This window comes from Homo sapiens, chromosome 14 (genome assembly GCF_000001405.40).
Source record: "Homo sapiens chromosome 14, GRCh38.p14 Primary Assembly".
Lineage (NCBI taxonomy): Eukaryota > Metazoa > Chordata > Mammalia > Primates > Hominidae > Homo > Homo sapiens.
Window position 1 is genome coordinate 19,400,948 of NC_000014.9, and position 25,505 is coordinate 19,426,452.

The window sequence follows — 25,505 nt, forward strand, 5'->3', positions numbered from 1 at the left end:
ATAAACCTGTTCATGTCTTGTTCTCTGGAAAGAAGTCTCTTTCAGCTCTCTGACTTTGGTCACAATCATGTAGAGCAGTAGCCAGTCTACAATGATGTAATTGAATTTCCATTTCCAGTGTTTCGTCGTTGTGTCTTACATTGTCCAGTTCAGAACTGAGCATTTTATTCTCAGTTGTCAACATGCTAAGCTGTCCACTGTACAGAAATACTGTTTTTGTTAATGCTTCCTCATTGAATTTTTTTTAAGGTGTGCACTTTTTTCCAACTCTCCTTAAGTCAGAGTACAGGTAAGCCCTGGCTGCCTCCAGCCACTCTCAGGGAGACCAAAAGCCTTCATACACCCCAAGTTGGGGTACAAAAAAGGGGGGCCGCGAAGGCTGATCATTCTAAATAAAACAAAATTAAAAAGTATTTAGGCAAAGATTCAAAAAATTTTGCATTACGTAATTTGCATGAAAGCAATGCCATCACCTCCCCTGTGTGAATTAGGGAGAGGACTGGGCCATTCTCCTTAGAGAGAAGTGGGGTGGCTTTTAGAAGGGCAAGGGGCTTCCTGAAACAATGCATCTCACAATATTTGGAATGACTATTGAAAAGAAAAACAATGTACGATCAAAGTCCTCAGCCACATTGTAGAACTTTGGGGGAAGCTCACTCCAACCAACTGCTCTCGCCTTCACCATTCCAGTTTTTAAATCCTGAGTCAAGCCAATAAAAAACAAAACAAAAAATGAAATAAGAAAACAATTAAAGCCATACCAATCTCATGTGGCTTTCTGCGAAGTTTGGTTTTGTCAAGAAAGGGTGTAATGCAACTAAGTCAGCGTCCACCTAGAAGCATTTGCGGTGGACAATGGAGGGGCCTGACTCATCATACTCCTGCTTGCTGATCCACATCTGCTGGAAGGTGGACAGCGAGGCCAGGATGGAGCCACCGACCCACACGGAGTACTTGCGCTTGGGAGGAGCAACAATCTTGATCTTCATCGTGCTAGGCGCCAGGGCAGCGATCTCCTTCTGCATCCTGTGGGCAATGCCAGGGTACATGGTGGTGCCACCAGATAGCACTGTGTTGGTGTACAGGTCTTTGTGGATGTCCACATCAGACTTCATGATAGAGTTGAAGGTAGTTTCGTGGATGCCACAGGATTCCATGCCCAGGAAGCAAGGCTGGAAGAGCACCTCGGGGCAGCGGAACCGCTCGTTGCTAATGGTGATGACCTGGCCGTTGGGCAGCTCATAGCTGTTCTCTAGGGAGGAGCTGGAGGCCGCTGTGGCCATCTCCTGCTCGAAGTCCAGGGCAACATAGCACAGCTTCTCTGTGATGTCACGCACGATTTCCCGCTCGGCCATGGTGGTGAACCTATAGCCACGCTCGGTGAGGATCTTCATGAGGTAGTCAGTCAGTTCCCGGCCAGCCAGGTCTAGGCGCAGGGTGGCATGGGGGAGGGCATTCCCCTCATAGATGGGCACAGTGTGGGTGACCCCGTCACCAGAGTCCATCACAATGCCAGTAGTACGGCCAGAGGTGTACAAGGACAGCACGGCTTGGATGGCCACGTACATGGCTGGGGTGTTGAAGGTCTCAAACATGATCCGGGTCATCTTCTCACGGTTGGCCTTGGGGTTCAGGGGTGCCTCGGTCAGCAGGATGGGGTGCTCCTCGGGAGCCACACGCAGCTCATTGTAGAAGGTGTGGTGCCAGATCTTCTCCATGTCGTCCCAGTTGGTGATGATGCCGTGCTCCATGGGGTACTTCAGGGTCAGGATGCCTCTCTTGCTCTGGGCCTCATTGCCCACATAGGACTCCATCTGACGCATGCCCCCCATCATGTTCTGGTGCCTGGGGCACCCCACGATGGAAGGGAAGACAGCCCGGGGGGCATCGTCACCTGCAAAGCCGGCCTTGCACATGCCAGAGCCGTTGTCAATGACGAGCACGGCAGTATCATCATCCATGGTGAGCTCATTCAGTTGTAGACCCTTTAAAAGATTATCATTCTTTTTTTCCACACTTTCAATTTCCTCCAAATATTTCTTTTCTCTTAGCTGGCTCTGATGTTTCATTACGTCTAGTTCCAGTCTTAGCATGACAATTTCTTCCTGCAACGTACTATTTTCATGCAAGAGGTCTTTTTCTTTCTTATAACTAAGAGAAAGCTAAGTAAACAAAGGGAACTTTTAGTTAGCACTCAATAGATTGATATACCATGATTTCTTCTGAAATTAAAAAATAACATCTGTATTTGTATAATGAAAGAATCCCCATAGTGGATATTTAACTGGAAAAAACTGGACAAAACTCCAAACCTAGCAGAGTGTAAATTCCTCTAGTGATTTATTTTTCATAGTCTTTAAATAAAGATTTAAACTTTTAGGAATCTGCTCCTGAATTCCTAAAAGTTTAAATATTTATTTAAAGACTATGAAAAATAAATCACTAGAGGATTTTTAAGAATCTCAGAATTAAAAAAGCCTTTCTCTGAGTTACAAAAAACCCAGAGGCATAAAATATAAGATTAATACATTTGACTATATTTTTAAGATTAGGTTTATACTCTGATATCTAACCTATCAACCACACCATCCTAAGAGCCTTAGCTATGCATATATTTGGACAGAAGCAATTTCTCAAAGTTCTTTAAGTTTCTTTTACTGAAGAACGTTTTACCGATATTCTACATTTCTAATATTTTTATACTCAGTTATAAGAATTATATTTATTCATAACTTAAATCTAAGCACTGTACCCTTCTACACTGTACACATCTGTATCTAAGCATTGCACTCCTACATACAACACTGAACTCATTTAAGATCGTGATTCTTAAAAGGAGAAGTCAAAAAATATATACAAGATGCAGGATTTTCCCCAGGTCTGCTGATGCTACTTCTAGTGATCCTCCACAAAACCACAGTTACTTCTGTGGTGTAAATATATAAATACAAAAGAAGCCTTTTGTTTCAAAATATGAATGGTAAGTAAGATGCAACTTATAGAGATTTTCTTAGAAATCATGAGATTATTTGTCATTGTGATAACTTTTATTTCCTCTTTATAATGTTTGAAACAGTAGTAACTGTGAAATAGGGGAAATATACTCAACTATTTCTCTAGGAACAAAATACTTATCAATAAATTATCACTAAATGTATATCATGGCATGTCATTGTTTTCAAACCTCTTTACATTGAAATGAGAAATTACTTGGAGCAAAGTGTTCCTCTCCACAAAAGTAAGGATGATGACATCCACAATGTGGCCTCTGACCCAACTATACATTTCCTACTTTCCTATCAGTGAAAACCATCAATTGACTTCTCTATTAACATTTTTTAACAAAACTAATGTCCAAAAACTAGAAAATTTGTTTTTAGTAGCAAAACTTAGTTTTGATATGGAAAGATCATCAATTCTTATGAAAAATATCAAATGCTTCTCCTTTGGATTGAGGCCATTGTGAAGGTCACTACTCGACTGTTGCAGGCAAATGGAGTTGAATTAAGAACATGGCTTTCTCCTATATGTACAGATATAGATACATGACAAAGGATATATAGAATATATACACACATATATATGACTTAAAAATCCTTTGTATATCCAAAATACATAGTTTTTAAAAAATATATACACATATAAAAACATTTGAAAATAACTAAATACCTCAGAATTCATTTTCAGCCACTTCTATCTGCTTTTCTTCATGAATCAGAATCTCATCTTGTAATATTCCAGTGTTCTGTTCTTCAGAAAGTTGCTTCTGAGTATCATTTTGTTCATCACTAGAAAAAAAATTAATTTTCATGAAATACTGGAGGTGTCCCCAAAATGATCTACAGGGCAAGATGGCGCCATCAGATGTCATTCACACAATGTATATCTGCACATTATTCCAAGACAAGGCAAAGGGGTCTCACATCTGTTAACCAAGTATCCCCAACCATGCTGGCACCAGGGACTGGTTTTGCGGAAGATAATTTTTCCAGGAACCTGAGGTTTGGGATGGTTCCAGGATGATTCAAGTACATTACATTCATTGTGCACTTTATTTCTATTATTATTAATATATAATGAAATAATTATATAACTCACCAAAATGTAGAATCCGTGGGAGCCCTGAGCTTGCTTTCCTGCGACTAGATGGTCCCATCTGGGGGTGATGGGAGATGGTGACAGATCATAAAGGCATTTGATTCACATAAGGAGTGAACAACCTATATCCCCTGCATGAGCAACTTACAACAGGGTTCAGGTCACACTCTTAGGACGATCTAATGCCACCGCTGATCTGACAGGAGGAGCAGCTCGGGTGGTAATGCGAGCGACAGAGAGTGGCTGCAAACAGATGAAGCTTTGCTTGCTCACCTGCCTCTAACTTCCTGCTGTGTGGCCCAGGTCCTAACAGGCCAGGGACTGGTACTGGTCTATGGCCTATAACTCATACTTTTTGTGTTTATTTTTTGGAAACATTTTCCACTTATATTCTTGATTCCTATGTATTTTATAAACAACTTAGAAATTCCTTTTAGAACAAGACAGGGTCTAATATTATGTTTTTAACATAGGACTTTGAATTAATTTTATCTGTGTATGAGAGAGAGATGTGAAATAAACTCATCATTAAGCATTTTCCATTTTACTTTTATTTCATGCATATTAAGAATAAAACTGGGAAGTCCTAGGCAAAGCAGTTGGGCAAGAGAAATAAAGGGCATCCAAATTGGAAAAGAGGAAGTCAAACTATCTCTTCACCAATGATATTACCTTATACCTAGAAAACCCTGAAGACTCCTACAAAACACTCCTAGATTTGATAAATGAATTCAGTAAAGTCTCAGAGGTTACAAAATGAATGAATACCAATCAGTAGCACCACTACACACCAACTACGACCAAGCTGAGAGTTCATATCAACAATCCAATCCCTTTTACAGTGGCTGCAAAAAAGTGTGAAATACCTAGGAATATGCTCAATGAAAAAGGTGAGTGATCTATATAAAGATAACTGGAAAACACCACCAAAGAAAATAACAGATGACACAAACAAATGAAAATACATCCTATGTTCATGGACTGAAAGAACTGATATAGTGAAAATGACCACAGTGCCCAAAGCAGTCTACATAGTCGATACAATTCCTACCAAAGTACCAATGTCATTCTTCACAGAATTATTTTAAAATGCTGACATTCATGTAGGACCACAAAAGAGCCTGAATAGCAACAGACATACCAAGCAAAAGGAACAAATATGTTGGCATCACGTTACCTGACTTCAAATTATACTCTAAGGCCACAGTAACAGAAACAGCGTGGTACTGGTATAAAAACAGATACATAGATCAACGGAACAGAACAGACAACTCAGAAATAAAGCCGCTACAACCAAGTGATCTCTGAGCAAGCATACAAAAACATACACTGGAGAAAGTACAGGTTATTCAGTAAATAGTGCTGGGAAAAAAAGAGAGCCACATGTGGAGGAATGAAACTGGATCTCTATCTCTCAACATATACAAAAATTAATTCAAGATGGATGAAAGGCCCAAACCTAAGACCTGAAAACATTGGCCTAGGCAAAGAATTTATGATGAAGACCTTAAAGCCAATGCAACAAAAATGAAAATAAATAAGACCTAATTAAACTAAAAACCTTCAGCACAACAAAAGAAATAATCATCAGAGTAAACCAACAACCTATACAATGGGAAGAAAATTTGAAAATTATGAATCTAACAAAGGACTAGTATCTATAACCTACAAGAAACTCAAACAAATCAACAGGAAAAACACAAATATTTCCATTAGAATGTGGCCAAATTACATGAATAGCCATTTCTCAAAAGAAGATGTACAAACGGTAAACAAGCATATAAAAACATGCGAAATATCTCGAATCATCAGGAAAATGCACAATAAAATGACAGTGAGATATCACCTCGCTGCAGCCAGAATGGCCACTATTAGAAAACAAAAAACAACAGATGTTGGTGTGGATGTGGTGAAAGGAGAACAGTGATACACTGCTGGTGGGAATGCAAATTCATACAAATCTATGGACAACAGTATGGAGAGTTCTCAAAGAACTAAAAATAGATCCTACCATTTTATCCAGCATTCTCATTTCTGGATAGCTACACAAAATAAAAGAAATCGTACTCTCACAAAGACACCCGCACACATATGTTTACTGCAGCACAATTCACAATATGCAAAGATATGGAATCAGCCAGTGTCCATGAACTGATGAATGGAATAAAGAAAATGGAGATATATAAAAATATATATATCTCACATCACATATATATATCACATATACGTATGTGTGTATATACACTCACACATATACGTATGTACATACCCGAGACTGGGTAATTCATACACATACATACCTGAGACTGGATAATTCATAAAGGAAAGAGGATTAATTGATTCACAGTTATGCATGGCTGGGGAGGCCTCAGGAAACTTAACAACCATGGTAGAACGTGAAGGGGAACCAGGAACCTTCTTCATAAGGCGGCAGGAGAGAGAGAATGGAAGGGGAAAGAGCCCCTTATGAAACCGTCAGCTCTTGTGAGAACTCACTCACTATCACAAGAACAGCACGGAGGAAACCGACCCCATGAGCCAATCACCTCCCAGCTGGTCTTTCCTCAACACCTGGGAATTACAATTTGACATGAGATTTGCATAGAAACACAAAGCCAAACTATTGTGGGGGGGTATCCTTATTTTTAAAATATCTAAATGTCATTATTTATAATTCAAAATAATAATTTTTATTAGTGATGATTTTGTTTGAAAATAGAATGATCTGATAAATTTTTTTCACTTTTAACCTATTCAGTCAAAATATATAAAAAGCTAGATTTGCCAGCAGAATATTGTAACTACTTTTTAATGAGATAAAAATGTATAACAACATCACTATTATTGTACAGAGAAAAAAGTGAACATAAAAAGGAATTTAAAAAGACAATATGACAATATGACTATCATATACATACATGAACTGACAGACTAAAATCTCCTACTGGAGATTATGTTAGGACTTGAGCAAAAGCTTCTAAAAATACCCAAAACAAACACAAAACAATTATTTTTAAGAAATAAATTATACAGAGAACTCTTCTGGTTAAGACGATGTATCAAAAAAAAATCTCCGTGAGAGCTATTATTAACCAAGTCATCATAACCAAAACTTTAAATCCACAATTCTGAAATATTAAAAAGTTTCATTTTGAACATAGTTAATGGAAGGCAACTTTTGAACAGAAAATTTCTGTTTAAAGTTGACTCAAACTTAGGAAAGAATTGACCTGTAGCCATGGTAACAAGAAGCCACCCAGAGCCAGTTCAAAATCTAGTCAATCGATCAATGACCACTGGCTTTGCTCACCAACCAATATCAATGTGAGCAGCTTGCTTCTGAAAGACAGCCAAGCAGCAACAGCTGCTTCATCAGAATAGACAGTGCCTGACCAGTATAGTCTTACTATCCGAAGCAAAAGATTCCAACTGTCTTTTTATTTCAAATACCAAAGGTCTATAATCCCTTGGAAACAATTTGTGAGTCCATTACATTTACCACCCTAATATTTTTTTAAATAAAATACTAGTGGCCGGACATGGTGGCTTACGCCTGTAATCCACCCAGCACTTTGTGAGGATAAGGCGGGTGGATTGCCTGAGGTCAGGAGTTCGAGACCAGCCTGACCAACAGGGTGAAACCCCGTCTCTACTAAAAATACGAAAATTAGCCGGGCATCATGGCACGCGCCTGTAATCCCATCTCCTCAGGTGGCTGAGGCAGGAGAATCACTTGAACCCAGGAGGCGGAGGTTGCAGTGAGCCGAGGTCACGCCACTGCACTGCAGCCTGGGTGACAGAGCGAGACTCTATCTCTAAATAAATAAAATACCAGTAAAGTTTGCAATTCCTCTGACTCATTTTACCATAATTGCAATTATCATGATTACCAGTAAAAGAATAGTGAATAACCACAATATTGGACTTTTCTCCCTAAGTGAAAAAATATTAACATAAAGAATGTAGATTATAAAAAGCCAAAAGAATTTTAAAAATACATATAATTACCAGGCAAAATTGTTAAAATGAACTCTGTCAAACACTTTTTAAGTGAGAATCAATCAAACAATATAGCCAGGATAAACTCCATTCATTCATTTAATACTTATTTATTAGGTAGCTACGTCTGATAGGCTAGGCCTTTTTCTAAGAAGTAAGGATATGGTAATGAACAATAAAAACCCTATTCATGAGAGTGAGATAAACACACAATAACAACAGACAGATAAGGCAAAATATACAGTACATTAGAGGAGAAAAACTAAAGCAGGAAAATGAAATGTTTACCTGTTTGATGGGAAGGGTCGTGGGAAAGTTGGGATGGCCAGAAAAGTCCCTGATGAGAAAGAGGATTTTTCTTTAACACAAAGAAACTTTTATTTGTACATCAAAGACTCTAAAAAATGATGATGTTAACAGAGTTGATGTCAAGACACAAATAGGTTTGAAGTTAGAGATGATAAATCACTGTTTCATTGAACCTTCCCTCAATTACGTTAGAGAGAATCCCTGGTATGCTCCCAATTGAATCTTAAGCCTGATGCGTCCTGGTGATACAATCGTAATTCCTTTCTGTTAGTCCTCGTTATCTCTTTTTCTTTTTCTTCATTTTTCTCTGGACTAGGAATTGTGCTGGTACATGGTTCTTCCTCCGAAAGTGGTTATTCCTTAATGTGTTTCTTTTTACCCTTTTTCTTCTTCTTAGAAAGGGGATTTTAAGTAAAAAACTGAAGTAATGGAAACAGTAAGCTAGAAGAATATCTGGGGAAAAAGCATTCCAGACACGGGGAACTGCTAAGTGCAGAGGTGTGACTGGAGTTTTTAAGCACTAGAGATAGGTAAGGAATAGCAAGAAGTTCAGTGTGGCTGAAACAGAGCAAAAGAGATAAGAAACAGAAGTTTAAGCAGGAGAGATAACATGCCAGATGGTTGACTGCCTTTTAGTTATTAGGAGGAACTCTGACACATACTCAGCGTGAAATGGGAGGCAATCAGAAGGGCTGGGGCAGGGGAATGACACAATTTGACTTATGTTTTAAATACATCCACTGAGTTAAGAATTGATGAAAGGGGAAATTTTTAAAAACCAGGACTATCAATTCCCAGTCTATGACACTCATCTAGATGGCAGATGATGGTGGCTCACATGTACAAGATATGACTGGCTTCTGGACATATTCTTCAGGTAGACCTGACGAGATTTACTGAGAGATTAGATGTGAAGTGTCAAGAGAGAGAGAAAGATGAGTCTAGAATGACACCGAGGTTTTTGGCAGAGCAACTGGAAGAGTTGCCATTAACCAAAGTAGGAAAGACTACATGAGGTGTAGATTTCAGGAAGGCCATCAGTAGCCCAATTTTGGATCTGACAAGTGTGTGATACTCAACAGCTAATCAAATAACTATTTATTAGGTAGCTACGTCTGATAGGCTAGGCCTGTCAAGTAGCCAGGCTGATACAGAGATCTGGAATTAAGGAGTGAGATCTGAGTTGGAGACATGCATTTGGAAATCACTAGCATATATACAGTAGAAAAAGTCAGGAAGGGCCAGGCACTGTGGCTCATGCCTGTAATCCAACACTTCGTGAGGCCAAGGCAGGCAGATCACCTGACATCAGGAGTTTGAGACCAGCCTGGCCAACATGGGGAAACCCTGTCACTACTAAAAATACAAAAATTAGCCAGGTATGGTGTCACACACCTGTAATCCCAGCTACTCAGGAGGCTGAGGCAGGAGAAGCGCTGGAAGCCAGGAGGCAGAGGTTGCAATGAGCCAAGATCGTGCCAATGAACACCAGCCTAGGGGACAAAGCCAGACTTCATCTTAAAAAAAAAAAATGTCATGAGAAAGAAGATTGAGGACTGAGCCATGAGAAACAGCAATGTCCAAAAGGAGAAACATGAGGAGGAGCAAGCAAAACAGACCGTGATGAATGGACTAGAAAGGCAGGAGTAAAAGCCTGAGGGAGTGAGGTCCTGAAAGCCAAGTGAAGACGCCGTTAGGGAGAAGATGCCCTCCATTGGCTCAAATATTGCTGACAGATTAAATAAAATGAGGTGTAAGAAAAAAATGCATAGATTTATTTACAGAAAAAAGTAGTGATAACCTTGAGAAAAACAACTCTGGAGGAGTGCTGAAATTGAAGACTTACTGGCATTGAGATCAAGAGTGAATGGAAAGAAAATTTGAGTTCGTGAGTGTAGACAGTTACTTAAAGGACAACATACTTAACACTCACGACTGAGAATGATGTAATTTTCATCCACAGTCATGGAAAAGTGATAGACAAGAAATAGTTTCCAAATTTTACATAACAGGTGGAGGTTTCAAATGCTATGTAACAATTATATATTTCAAAGGTTATAAAAATTATACACATGTGGCATTAAATGCCAGACCAAGGTTTTAAAGGCCCCTAGAACATTTCTAGATTACATAAGCTGATTATCATTTTGTTCATGCTTATACATAAAGACCAAGAAATACTAAAGGTCTCAACGAGAATATTTCTTGCTTGATAAAAATCAGCCAATTCTAGGACAGTTGACACTCATCAAATATACAAAGTAATTGATCACAGTAAAATACTGAGTTCTATTAACAGGAATAAAGAGAGAGAAATGCAGAAAATAATCTTATTTTATAAATGAAGTTTTTAAAATTATATGAAGTCACTGTGGAAAAATATGGTGAGGTGAATACTCAAATATATCCTTTTCTCAAAGGAAAGATAATGTCACCCATGCAGGACACTTTTACATATAAGAGTCAATGCATTAGCAGCACCTTCCTTTTAGCACAAAGGTCAGCAAATAAGCACCTGTGGGCCAAATCCAGCCCACTGACTGTTTTTGTAAGTCAAGTATCCTGGAACACAGCCATGCTTATTCACTTTACAGTCCATAGTGACAATTAGCTGGGTGTGATGTTGCACACCTGTGGTCCCAGCTAGTAGAGAGGCTGAGGTGGGAGGATCACTAGAGCCCAGAAAGTCGAGGCTGCAGTGATCACACAACCATGATCACACAACTGCACTCCAGCCTGGGAAACAGAGCCAGACCCTGTCTCAAGAAAATAAATATATGTAGTCCACAAAGCCTAAAATATTTACTAATTGGTTCTTTGCAGAAAAAGCTGGCCAACTCTTGGTTTAGTAGATCAAAGATCTTTGATGTATTTTAATAAAAGTTTTACCCAATACACTGAAATGTTTATATTAAATATAGATCCCCATGTACAATCCCTTGGCAATATTCAGACTGAGGGTCCAATATTTCAGCACTCAGGCACTGACAACAAAAATTTAATAATTAGCAATCTTGTTGCTAACAAGGTACAGTGTCAATGTAGCATGTAGCTTCCATTTCCAACACAGCAGATATTACAAGAATTTTAACAAGAACTCCTAAGATGTGTCATTAAACTAAATGCTTTAAATACATTTTAATTGTGAAATAATCAGTATACCCTAGATCTAACCTCATTTTTCAAAAACGGTTGCATAATACATTATTTTGGGGGTATGGACATTGAGCTATTTCCTATTGATAAGGGAGTAGACTAGCTCCAAATTTTTAGTATAATAATGCTATAATAAATGTCCTTATATGTAAGTATGTATGTAACATATCTACACAAATATCCTTTACATGTATTATACATCCTTACTCTGTTATATATCTGTGTGTGTGTGAATATGCTACTAAATTAATGTTCAAAATGTATTTACCAACAGTGTATGAAATGTCTTTTTCAGTGAAACCATTTCCCTTGCAGCAACACAGATGGAGCTGGAGGCCATTATCCTAAGCAAACTAATGCAGGAACAGAAAATCAAATGCCACATATTCTTACTCATTAGTGGGAACTAAACATGAGAACTCATGGACACAAAGAGGAGAATAACAGACACTGGGGCCTACTTGAGGGTGGAGAGTGGCAGGAGGGAGACGACCAAAAAACTACCATTCGAGTATTTTGCTTATTATGTGGCTGATGAAATAATCTGTACCCCAAACCTCCATGATACAGTTTACCTATATAATAAACCTGCACATGTACCCTGAAGCTAAAATAAAAGGTCACTGAAAAGAAAAGAAAATGCCTTTTCCCTCACATTTGCCAATACTGGCTATTTTTCAAATAAATTAATGACTGGAAAAAATGGTAACTCATTGTTTACTGATTTTCATTTTTCTGATTAACAGGCAAGGCTGAATATCCTAGTAAAAGTATAAAATTTGTTCATCATGAATTAGATTCACAGCATAGAGTTATCTCCTGTTCAATGTTGCCACAGACTTACCTGTGATACTGTTCATTCTCAGTGTCAGGAAATTGCTGGCTTTCAGGTGTTCTGCTTTTCCTTGGTGGAATTAATCCATCATCACCATTGTCAGCAGTGGCACCGTTAGGCAGGTTTTCTGGGAATCCCATATGAGTACTTCCGTGCTTCTTCATTTCTTCTTCAACCTTGAATGAAAGTTTGATATTAAGGATAGTTATCCCTTTATTGAATAGAAAGAATATTTTTAATTGATTTTATCACTTGACCAGTTTATCATTATTTTAGTCATTAAAAACATTTCACTCTTAAATTGGATCATATACACAGAACTATTACCATATAATTTTAAGATGTACTTATCATATCACTAATATATCACAGAAATTTTTGTAAAGTTTGCTTCATTTCTGTTTCAATGAGTAAAACAGAATTTTCCAAAATTCAAAAAGGGCCCTCCTTTATTTTGTGCTTTTATTCTCAATCACTCTTCAGAATCTTATATATGTATTTACCCCCATTTGACTGGTGGGAACACATAAATAAAAAGACAAAGATGAAAAATGTGTCTTCATCCCTCTTTACCACCTAGATTTTACATTAAACAGTCATTTTAGAGGATGAGACACCGTGGGGCTTCAGGAATAGAACGGAAGATGACCCTTTTCTGCACTAAGATATTCTTCTCCCCCACTGCCTTTGAGCATTCTTTTTTCATTAGGTTCCTAGGATATCAAAAACACGAAGGTGCTCACTGAAACATGGGAACCAAAGTTTCCCACAACATAAGGAGCAGAGTGAAACTGCAGAGGTACAATCATGGAATTCCAGAAAATGAGTTGCTCCCCAAATTTCACATTCGATAGCCATAAAATTTTCTAGCTGGAAAATACACAGAATAAAAAATTATCTACTTTAGCCACATTTTCTATTGATAATCAGACTAAAACCAAGAAAGATAAAATTATTGATCCAAAGCTCCTAAAGTGGCATTACTTAGCATTTTATGGCACCATTCGGGACTATTCCATAATAATGAAAGAATATCTCTAGGGTTTGCATCTCTTTAAAATTCAATGTATAGAATTCTGAGTTAAGTATTAAATTTTTCACTGATGATTTATGCTACTTACATGATAGGATCACGTATGCCTACACTTACTACACTTTGTTAAACAACATAATGTAAAAATCTAATTCAACACAAACATTTGAATATAAAAGTATACCTTTCTATCACCACCCTTATTTATTTCTGGTTCTTGAGACATTTCCTGCAGATGCAAAAACAGAAGGTTAATTTGCTTGTTGTATTTCTGTGATGTCTCCTCTTTTGGAGCACATGTTTTTAAAATAATTTTATTCTTAAGTAATCAAGTATGGACAATAAAAATTAGAAAATAATTAAAATTAAACTTAAAAAAATAAATAATAATTAAAATTAAGATTAACTTTTTAATCTATGTTTAGCTACTGCCACATCACTGGCTTCTAACATGTGAAAAATAATTCACCTTAGCCAAAGGGAGAAGAAAAACATGAACCAGCAAACTTAACTTGGTCACTATTTGTTCGGACTAAACTTAACTTGTTATGTGTTAAATCTACCAAAAATGAATCAGCAGATCATTTGTAGTGTTGCAAAACCTTCCTCACTTGAAAAGAGTTTACCTCATGAAACCCTAACTAGTGAGCCCCCACAGTGCACTGAAGTGCTTTTTTAAAAGATTCCTAACTGGATTGTAGGCACACTTTAAATTATTAGGAGCCGAAATCAACACCAAACAGAAAGAGATGCAAATTCTTAAATTTTAATTGAAATTATATACTGTAATATGATAGTGTTATGTATCTAGATTATCTGCTTAAGTCCAGTTCTAATATATTCTAATATGTACTAATGACAGTAGATAAAAATTTTAATCTGTCCTGATTTTCTGCAACTGAAATAAATTAGAATGTTATTGTGTTTGTGCACTAACACCAAAGGTCCCATTCTGCAAGATATGATTCCTTTAATAGGCAGTTGGGTTGCTTTTTTGACCTGGTTCCCTCCCTGAACAGAAACACTGAGGTCAATGAGAGACCACAACCTTAGTATCAGTGACTGACAATATAAAACTGCAGATTTTCAATCACTGGCCATGATTACTCTTTAACCATGAATCCAGCTCAGGGACCATCAGTGTTACATTGTTCATAATTCTATTGCTTAATAATATAATCCAATAATTGATGTTACATTCTTCATCATGTTAGGGTGTTGTAAAAATAAAAGAACAAAGTTCTGAAATTTGTTTTTGCCTCTATTCCAAAAGGAAAGATTAGCTATAAGCTAATCAAGAAGGCAGATAAGAATATTTTAAAATAAGAGTATTTTAAATTTCATAGTGGGTTATGTTGAAGTTAAATATCAAATATTAAATTAGAATCTATTGATTCTTCTTTTAATAAGGTTGCTGAATTTATTACAATAAATTTTAAGAATCTATTAAAATTTTTTTTTTTTTTTTTTTTTTTTTTTTTTTTTTGACACAGAGTCTTGCTCTGTCACCCAGGCTGGAGTGTAGTGGCAGATCTCGGCTCACTGCAAGCTCCACCCCCCAGGTTCATGGCATTCTCCTGCCTCAGCCTCCTGAGTAGCTGAGACTACAGGTGCCCACCACCACACCCGGCTAAGATTTTGTATTTTTAGTAGAGACGGGGTTTCATCATCTTAGCCAGGATGGTCTCGATCTCCTGACCTCATGATCCGCCCACCTCAGCCTCTCAAAGTGCTGAGATTACAGGCATGAGCCACCCCCCCAGCCAAAAGATTCTTAAAAAAAGAATCTATTGATTCTCAAAGCCTAGTCTCAAAGGTAATTTCATTTGGACTATCTAATATTATTAAAGCAAAAAAAAAAAAACAAAAAAAACGTTAAACCAAAAGTTTAAATTTAAGAGTTTCCATGCCTCTGGCTGGCTATTTTCACTTCCTTTAAGCCTTTGTGACTCTTCCTCTGATGTCAGCTTTAAGTCTTGTTCTGTTGAAAAATCCATATATTCAGTTAAAATCAACCACTTACAACAGTTAAAAACTATTGCCTTTTAAAAACAGATTTAAGACATTTCATTTTATTTCATAAATTGAGTGTTTAATCTTTCATGAAATTGTCATTTACGAAATAATTCTCAAAAACTTCAAAAAACCACTTGGGGAGACATCAGATGTCACCAGATTGAAGACATACACACATGTTAAAAATTCCCTCATAAATTCATCCACCCAACATAAATGAACAAAACCACCATAAACACAGCTTTAAAATACAGTAGAAACAATAAAGTGACACAGTATATTGTTCTCCACTTCCTAATAGTACCTTATAAATGATTTCCAAAATCACTGCTGACACCTTTATTACTGTACAACATTTTCCTAATATCTAAAATGTTTCCCTCCATAATTCTGACAAATTTATTTTAATTTTTTTTTTTTTTTTTAATGAGCCAGGGTCTTGCTCTGTCACCAGGCTGGAATGAAGTGGTGCGATCAGCTCACTGCAACCTCTGACTCCCTGGTTCAAGCGATTCTCCTGCCTCAGTCTCCTGAGTAGCTGTGATTACAGGCAAGCACCACCACACCCAGCTAATTTTTGTATTTTTAGTAGAGATGGGGTTTCACCATTGGACAGGATGGTCTCAATCTCCTGACCTCATTATCCGCCCACCTCAGCCTCCAAAGTGCTGGGATTACAGGCATGAGCCACCACACCCAGCCTTATTTTCATCTTTTGAAACAATTCTATGTGAAGTCTTCCTTGATTCTGCATGTCTTTCCCCAAATAAACAGGTATCTCCTTCCTTGAGGCTGCCTTAGTATTTTACTGATTTTTCTACGGCATCTTTACCCCCTAAGCTGTACATTATTTCTCCATATGTCTGTCCCCTCTGCTCCAAAACTGCAGGGGAGAGTCTTGCACATCATCTTTGTAAAAACAGTCTTTGTTTTACTCAGAAAATTTGTATTGAGTCCTGCTACATACATGCTAGGCATTAGGGTCTAAAAAGAATGAAAATAAAGCATCTCAGGGATGGCTTTTCTAGAACACATGCCCAAGCAGAGACTTAAATATTGAGGCTGGCCAGATTAAAAGGGGTAGAGGGCAGGAAAGGGTGACAGCATGCCCGGCAGCAGCAAGAGCGGGAGCGAGGCCTGAAAGAATGAAAGTATTTGCCTACAACAGAAGGATGAGTGAGTAGGGCACTACCAGCAGCTCAGTAATGCCAGAGAAAGGGCACACAGGGAAAAGGGCTAAAGATGGAGAGTGGGGCAGAAGTCAGATTATGAAAGCCTCATGTGTAATTTTAAGATGCTTGGACATTAATGTTCAAGAGTGGTCCCTGGTCCTATCTGCATTTAGATATAGATCACTTTAAATGCCAAAACCAATATTTGTAGTGAACCATTATTCATTAAGACAAGGTGACTGATAATTCATGTGGACACAACTGAAATGATACTATGTAGCGAATTCTCAATAATTCTCATGAACACTTGGAAAGTCAATTCTATAATAAAGTCATACAAATTATAATAAATCAGTAAAGATTTGGTTTGGGAAGATGCTTTGTAAAGTTATAGTGCATATGAATACAACTAAGAGTCGTGAATTCAGAGCTGTGACAATAAAGCAAAGAAATTACATTGTGTTTGAGTCAGCAATCTTTAGATTTCTATCCAGTCTTCCCATCCAGTCCATAAATTCTAAGTATAATCCTGGTACTCACTCTCAAGTTTACGTTAAATACTATCCCATACAAAAACCACTCTTTCTCTTGTTTTCATTATTTATATGTTGCCTTGTTTAAAGGAAGAACACAAAAATGCCCTGCTAAAGGGATTCTGTTTGGCTGCAGGCAGCAAGAGGGAAAAACACAGAGCATATTTTGCAGAAAATGATTTATTAGAAGTCAGAACTATGACACGAAGCCAAGCAGGGCACTCTAGGACTGAATTTGCTGTGCTGCCTTCATACGCTCCTTGCTCTTTCTTTTCTGGCAGCCGTGACTCACACAGCTCATGGAGAGTATCATTCCCTAAGAGGAACAACTCCGATATTCATCTTTATCTATTAAGTTCATCTGTCCCAATTCTGTGTTCTGTGGATGCTGACTTTCGGTCATGGATGGTGATACACATGGACATTTATCATCCACTTTCAGATTCTTGGAACTTTGACAAGTCTTATTAGTGAGAGTCAGACTACTAGGATGCAAGTTACAAATGCTGATTATCCAATTACCTACTCAAAATATCCTACACGAATATTCCATTAAACATGCATAGAAAAACATTAGTCATTCCTGCTGACCTGCTGTTCTTTGCTCTTCTGTATTCACCAGAAAATTTCCTACTCCTTCCTCACGTCTAGGTTAAATACTAGTGTACAACCTGGAAACCTGTACATCATCTGAGATTTCTCTCTGTCCCCCAAGCCTTTCTCATTCAATTATCACTAAATCATATTGACGATACCTCTCTTCTGCCTCCATTTTGTATTCCCACTGCCACTGGGAACATGAACATTTACAAAATGGCTTTTATTAAAAAAAAAACTGCCAACAATTAATGTTATTTCTTACGGGAAAAAAATTAAGCTAAACAAATGAAAAAAGCATAACACCAAAAAAAAAAAAAACAAAAACAAAGGCCAACATATTAAAACGAGTAATTGAGATTCCTAACTTTATTTATTTCACTATGGACAGGTGAAAACCTTGTAATACATTGATGCTACTCCAAGGATGTATGACAAGGAAACCATAGCTGACTACTGCAAAAGCTTCCTTTGTCTCCTGGTTTCTTTACATAGTAAAGAACCTTCCATCAATCCCAGCAAACTATAGGCTACAGACTAAATCCAATCTGCATTATGGCATTGTGAGTAAAGTTTTATAGGAGCTCAGTCATGCCTGTTTGCTTACATATAATTCTGGTGGCTTTCACACTACAACAGCAGACAACAGCAGGGTTAAGAAGACATGACAGAGACCACATAGTCTAAAATATTTCCCACCTAGTCCTTTACAGAAAAAGCTTTCTAACCCATTTTACACCATAACCAGAAGCCTTAATACTCAAATTTAATCTTGTGACTCCCCTGCTCAAATTTCTCCAATGAGCCCCTGCAGCACACATTGTTGGCTCCCTATCAATAGCCATTCCTTATTCTTTCTTGCAGAAGAAACACAAGTCTATTGGGATATTTATTATCCCAATCCCCCTCCTCAGCCTCAGAAAGAGAAATGTTTATTCTAAGCTAATCATGTATTTTCCTTCCCAGTGCCTGGTTTGGGAATGAGCAGGTACTCTGACCTAGCCAATGAAATATTACAGGAAGCCCTTGCATGCTTCTAAGTTTTCTCCCAGTTACGTGAATAAAACACTGCCAACAGCACAGCTGAAAGAGGGACAAGTGGGATCCTAGGATATCAATGAACAAACAAAACAACTCTGGTTCCTACTGTTTTAGCCACCGCTCATCTAGTATTTGCAGTCCAAAGCATTCTACCTGGTAAACTTCCCATGGCCCATGGGGTAAAACCTACTCATTTCTATAGTATTAAAAAGTCTATCATGAACTTGCCTTAGCTGAGTATTCACCTCATTCCCAACCTCTCGTATCTCACACTTTTGGTATTAGCAAAAGTGAATTGCTCAGAATCCCTGCAAAGTTCACTCAAGCATCTTGTCTTTTGCACTTGCTGCTCTTTCTGCCAAACAGACAATCTCATTAGATGTTCCTTCTGGCAAACACACAACCTCGTTGCATGTTCCTTCTGCCAAACATTATTCTTCTGCTTCTTTACCTAGAAAAATTCTTCTCTCTCTGCATGCTTACCTTAAATCATACCTACTTTTTTCCAAAATTTTCATTCCTCATCACATATGTCTGGCACATAATCAATATATAATAAATCATAATTATAAGCTTCCAGTGGGCATCTAGCACACAGTAAGCACTGAATAAAGTAGTCAAATAATGAAAATGACAATGATAATAACAAGCTCCTGTCTCTACTTTTAATTGTTTGTGCTCTGTAGCATTAGAAAAAATGGCTAGTATCTAAAAGACATTTGATAGTTATCTGTTAAGTGGACAAGTGAAAATAGAAATGTTTTCTTTGTAAATTCTGTTGAAAAAGCACAGCAATGAAATGGAGACAGCTCTATTATGAGCACCTTAAAGATGAAAACTACATCTATTCCATTTTTGTCTCCTGCAACTTATAAAACCTAACTTACAGAAGCTCTTTGATAAATAGATGGCTAAATTAAAGGTGTCCTCATACAGTTTGGACTATACAATGTATTAGGTGTCTACAATCAGGTAGCATACTAGCATTTTTGTTAGTGTGAAACATTTTTCTACTTTTATGATAATCTGCTGAGCCTAGAGTTGGGCAATTTGCATATTTATTATGACACTCTTTTGGCAAATGGTAGCAGAGCATCTTGTTCTAACAAAATTACTGTTATCATGACAATTAACCAGCAGGTAGAAGAACACATCTTGTTCCAAAAAAGTCAATATATCTCTTTCCAACTTCAAATGAGGAGGAATGAAGTCAGTAATAGTGAGACCTTATTGGGACAAGCATATGTAACATGACCTGTGCTTCAGTGTTCTTTTGTGATCAAAAATTCCTTACTTTTAGTTTTTTATCTATGGTAGAACCACCCAGAGCAGGGGTCCTCAACTCCCAGGCCACAGACTCATACCAGTCCACGGACTATTATGAACCACACCACACAGGAGGAGGTGAGCACTAGGCAAGCCAAGGAAGCTTCACCTGTACTTACAGCCACACCCCATGGCTCATATTACAGCCTGAACTCTGCCTCCACTCAGATCAGTGATAACATTAGAAACTCATTGGAGCACGAACCCTGTTGTGAACTGCCTATCCGAAGGATCTAGGTTGTGTGCTTCGTATGAGAATCTAATGCCAGATGATCTATCATTGTCTCACTTTGCCCCCAGATAAGACCATCTAGTTGCAGAAAAATAAGCTCAGAGCTTCCACTGATTCTACATTATGGTAAGTTGTATAATTATTTCATTATATATTACAATGTAATAATAATATAAAATAGCACAATAAATGTAACATGATTGAATAATTCTGAAACCATCCCCACCTTTCCCCAGCCCATGGAAAGATTGTCTTCCACAAAACCGGTCCCTGGTGCCAAAAAGGTTGGGGAAAACTAACCTAAAGTAATTCACTGTTATAAGTCTTACCTGGATTGCTGTTTTCAGAAGAGACTTTTAGCATCTGTTTTTCTTTGTAGTCAGAAAGTAACTGGCAAATTCTATGTATAAAATTGTAATAAACCAAATTACTATTTTAATACTGATATAAAAAATACTTACCAAATGTGAAATTCTTAACAGTATTTCAAACAATATCAGAATATCAGAACTTAACAGTATTATCCTATCCACTTATGAGTACATTCTGCAAACTTCTCTTTAAGCTTCTAATTAAAGAAGAAAAAAATGTAGGGTGAAATACTCATAAATCGAGGGCATGTGACCCAGTAAATTAGGTTGCATTAACCTGACATAATAGAAAGTGTCCCAACTCTGCATAAGTCCTAGCTCCATAATGAACAGCTATTTGTTCTTGGACAACTTGCTTCTCTTAGGCTCAATGTCTTCTTCAACAAAGTGAGGACTTTGCTGCCTTATTTCCCTAGGTTCCGATAAAAATTTAATGAGATCACATTTTTTAAATGCTGAGAGAAATAGTAAAGCAATGGAATAATCTCTTCCTAAACTTTATGACTAAAATTATCTTGGAATCACAAATAAAACCCAATGCGTATTTTGTTCATAGGTTCTAATATGCAAATGTTGTAGTTTTCAGAAAATGTTATTAAGTCCTAATTTTGCCTCTTAGTTGTCCTACTCTTTATGGCTTATATTTCAGGGCATCTCAACTATGTCATAGTTTGTAACTAAATGTATTCCTAAATATCTCATTAAAGTAGATAATGTGATTGTCCACTATTACGGAGTTGATCAATCACACCAAGGGCAGAAAAACCAATGGATGTTAAGACCTGGTTTGGACCAATGAGCCTTCTCTACAGACTCAAACTCTGAGCCCGCAGATGTTGGTTACAATGATGCTTTATATTGATGTTCAATTCCGGCTGACATGGGAGACCAAAAGTCTACTTTTATTTTTTTTAGTTTCCATGAAGAAGTAGCAAGCTGACATTCTGTCATTTTCGACATACATACTAACAATATATTTTGCACCAAACATGTTATTCAGCTCTAAGTCATCTCATAGACCATCTTACATGACTATTTTTGCAGCGCAAATCACAATTTCAATATTTGGGTGGCACCCATTTCGCTTTGATTCACACTGTTTCCTTAGAGCTAGTCAGCAAATAGTCAAATGACCTTCCAGTGACTGCACAAAATATGGAATGCTTCAAAGATCTGTGCTGCCTCCTTATGCAGAAGCCACGCTAACTTTCTCCGTATTGTTCTAATTTTAGGATATGTGCCGCCGAAGCAAGCACAAAGCCCTACTTTTACACATGCCTAGTGATGCTTCATGGACAAGGCTTGGCTCTGTTGAGTCCAACTAACCTACCTGAGATTCTGAGATTTCTCTTCAATGGCTTCCTGTGAGCTAGAGTTTGAAAATATCTTAAAATCTTGAGCTAGAGATGGAAGTAGCTTGGACGATTTTCATTATCATGTAAATCGGGTCACTCAAGGGGCCAACCACAGCTGGGAGCCACTGCTCAGGGGAAGGTTCATATGGGACTTTCTACTGCCCAAGGTTCTATACAGGATATAAAGGTGCCTCACAGTATAGATCTGGTAGCAAAGAAGAAGAAACAAACACTGATCTCTTTCTGCCACCCCTCTGACCCTTTGGAACTCCTCTGACCCTTTAGAACAAGCCTACCTAATATCTGCTAGAGAAAAGACCAACAACGGCCTCAAAGGATCTCTTACCATGAAGGTCTCAGCTAATTCTTGGCTAAGATGTGGGTTCCACATTAGGTTCTGAATATGGGGGGAAGGGTCAATTTGCTCATTTTGTGTGTGGATAAAGTCAGGATGCCCAGGGGCCAGAGCAGGGGGCTGCTGCTTTGGGAACAATGGCTGAGCATATAACCATAGGTATGGGAACAAAAAACATCAAAGTCACTGTATCAATTGCCATGAAGACTTGAGGGACCTGAATCTACCGATTCATCTTAAGGCAGCAGGACCAGTTTGAGTGGCAACAATGCAGCAGCAGAATCAATGGAAACAACAGAATGATTGCAATGTCCTTTTTTTTCTCCTCCTTCTGACTTGATAAAAGGGACCGTCTTCCTTGGATTTAGTGAACCCCTTTGGTTCCTGAAAAATTCAAGGAGTATCTAGGACATAGTCCCCAGAAGACAGTACAAGACTTTCTGATAAACTGGACATTTCAAGACCCAAATAACTAATCAGAAAAATCAAAGATGTGATACTATTTTTTATCCCATGCATAGGTGCTACACTTGGATCAAATGAACAATGTTGGGATCTCTATGGATAAAGGTCTTAAAAGTCCTGAGATAAAGAATCCTGCACCCACTGGTACTTCTAACTTGTCTTGTTTTTTGTCTGATTTCTGGCTGATGCAGGGGACTAACTCACTGCCACGCGAAAACTACCTGAACTGAACTATGACATCTCACCTGATATGTAAGATGTAACTGTTATAATTATTTTAAACCTCAATTTAGCATTAACTAGCCTTTTAATGTAAACACTTACACATTATGATGACTAGAAACAGCATACTCTCTGGCCGTCTGTCCAGATAGATCTTGAGAAGATACATCAATGTTTTGCTCAAGTAGAAGGCTGACTATACTTGCCGATCCACAACATACAGCAAGTATGAGAGCAGTTCTAAAATGACAGAGATAGGAACAGTAATAAAGTTATTTTAAAAGCTAATTTGATATACTTTACCAATTTAACATCTTGCCTGTCCGTGCAGAATCAAACATTTACATGCACTAAAAGACATAAGCATCTTCAGTGCTCAAGTGTTCATATTTGTAAAATACCACCAAGGTTAAAAGGAAGGGACAAAAAAAAAACCCTCTTATCTCAGTGGGGTATTGCATAGCAGAAGCTACTAATTTAAAGTCCTTTGATGGACAAGAAACAATATTAGGGCCACTTATCTGAAATGAACAAAGATTTAAGTGAAGATTTCATCACAGCTTCCCTAGACTGATATGCTGTAATAGAAAATCAGCTAGGGGGTAAAATAAATAAGACCTCTCTGCGTGCTGAAAGCAAGTAAGATTAATAATAATGGTAAGAATAGTAGTCACAGGAGTTTCAGTTAATGATGCCAATAAGCATGTGCTAGGCACTGAATTAAATGCCACATATATCTTTCTTATGCACAGCAAACTTTGAAGGAATGTATTCTCCTAATTTTCATATATGACAACATATTTGGTGGTAAATAACGTTCCCAAGGTCACACACCTAGCAAGTAAGAAAGTTAGGAATTAAACCCAGTATTGTGTGAATCTAAAGCCTAACTTTTTTCTCTTTATCACCCACCTACGGCTTGTCTTCATTAAAGGAAAAGTGTATCCACTTAAAACTATCTTCACTCCCTCTCTCCATACCAATTAAAAATAAAAACATCAAAATACACTGGAAATAAAAAAGGAAAAAAGCTGTTGAACCCACAGTACGTGGGAACAGCAATTAATTGTCATGCAGGGATAAGCTAACATTAATATTCTTCAAAGAAAGCAACTTAAGGCAGAATCATTGAAAAGACAAAAGGATTTTCAACCCCTATTTATGGTTAATACAGCGTATTTAGTGGAAAAGCATGTAAGACACAGGTTAAAAACTATTAGAAAGGGTTAAGAAGTTCAATACTGAGTCATAAAGTAAACTAAAATTAAAGTTCAAACTTCATAAAATATGAAATCCCTTTAGCTAACATAAGATCATGTAACCAAAAACATTACATAGCAAATAACATCAGTCAATATAATAAAAGATGAATCCTACTAAAACTTTTATGTTGCCCAGTCCAAATAATTGTTTTTCTACCGAACTGATTTGTGTTCATACTGATCACTATATCCCAATAAGTATACATTAATCTTATTTAATATTTATGACTTGAGTGACTGCTATCCATCTGGAACACACAGATTAAAAGAAAGAACTATACCTTCCATATCTATCCAGTGCATTTAAATTTGCTTTTTTCTTGATTAAGAATTTCACCACTTGCTGTTTTTGCTCATGTACACCAAGTAACAGTGGTGTGAGGCCATGCTGTAAAACAATATAAAGCAAAAACGTATGTAATTCAAAAAAGTACATATTCCTCAACCGAAGTGGAAACTTTATATAAGATCTTATGGACTTACATGCATAGAAAGTAAATAAAATGTAGTCGCTTCCTTCTCACTCTTCTGTGCTTTCCCACACGCTGCTCCTTCCCTTGGAAACACCCCTTCTCTGCCTCACCACAGTAACTCTACTCATCTCAAAAACTCACTTTAAACATTTACTGCTTCCAAGGCTCTTTGCTTCTAACCCAGCATTTGATATGGTATTATTGGATGGTAATATTTTTCCCATCTAAACAAAGAGCTCCTTGAGGGCAGGGGCTGTATCTTTTGTTTCTATATCCTCAACCCTAAGATAAATTGCGTATAAAGCAAGAATTTGCATGTAAAATATTTCTTTAGTTTCATGTTTTACTGAAAGTTCAACCTCCAACATGCAACAAAAATTGCTATTAAAACTCACACTGCCCATCTGAAAAAATTTTCCAACATTTATTTATTTAAAATCTATTTATATTTAATTTTCCCAGATTGTTACTAAATAATCAGTTCATAGGACTACTGAAACTAAATTAACAGAATTTCTATCTGTATTCTTAATAACTCCATGGTTTTAAGTGTGTAAAACTGCCATGCTGATTATGCCAAAGCTCTACATACTTAAAGAGACACACTGGACAGTCCACAATACAGCTTCAATTGATAAAAAACAGTTTAGAATTT

At 37.3% G+C, this 25,505-nt stretch overlaps 1 protein-coding gene, 1 long non-coding RNA gene and 1 pseudogene across 3 annotated transcripts in view; 1 reads left to right on the forward strand and 2 right to left on the reverse strand.

Annotated features, from left to right (window-relative positions):
* Positions 1-1,538: 1,538 nt before the first annotated feature.
* Positions 1,539-25,505, reverse strand: part of POTEG (POTE ankyrin domain family member G) — a 31,856-nt gene continuing 7,889 nt past the window's right edge. Inside the window, exons 4-12 of one of the 2 annotated variants that reach the window (NR_027480.2) lie at positions 24,659-24,765; positions 23,218-23,355; positions 20,677-20,747; positions 15,341-15,411; positions 13,615-13,659; positions 12,407-12,573; positions 8,386-8,434; positions 3,670-3,788; positions 1,539-2,162 (exon numbers count right to left, since the gene is read on the reverse strand). Coding sequence is in view for 1 of the 2 variants with exons in the window: in NM_001005356.3 (NP_001005356.1) it covers positions 3,671-3,788; positions 12,407-12,573; positions 13,615-13,659; positions 15,341-15,411; positions 20,677-20,747; positions 23,218-23,355; positions 24,659-24,765 (717 nt within the window). In the remaining variant the exon portion in view is untranslated. The remainder of the gene's footprint in view (positions 2,163-3,669; positions 3,789-8,385; positions 8,435-12,406; positions 12,574-13,614; positions 13,660-15,340; positions 15,412-20,676; positions 20,748-23,217; positions 23,356-24,658; positions 24,766-25,505) is intronic. The other variant, NM_001005356.3, reaches the window with a different exon arrangement.
* Positions 20,079-23,637, forward strand: LOC101929572 (uncharacterized). The gene is made up of 2 exons (NR_110504.1): positions 20,079-20,473; positions 21,951-23,637. It is a non-coding gene; the product is annotated as an uncharacterized LOC101929572 (long non-coding RNA).
* On the reverse strand, positions 21,868-21,974 carry RNU6-1268P (RNA, U6 small nuclear 1268, pseudogene; annotated as a pseudogene).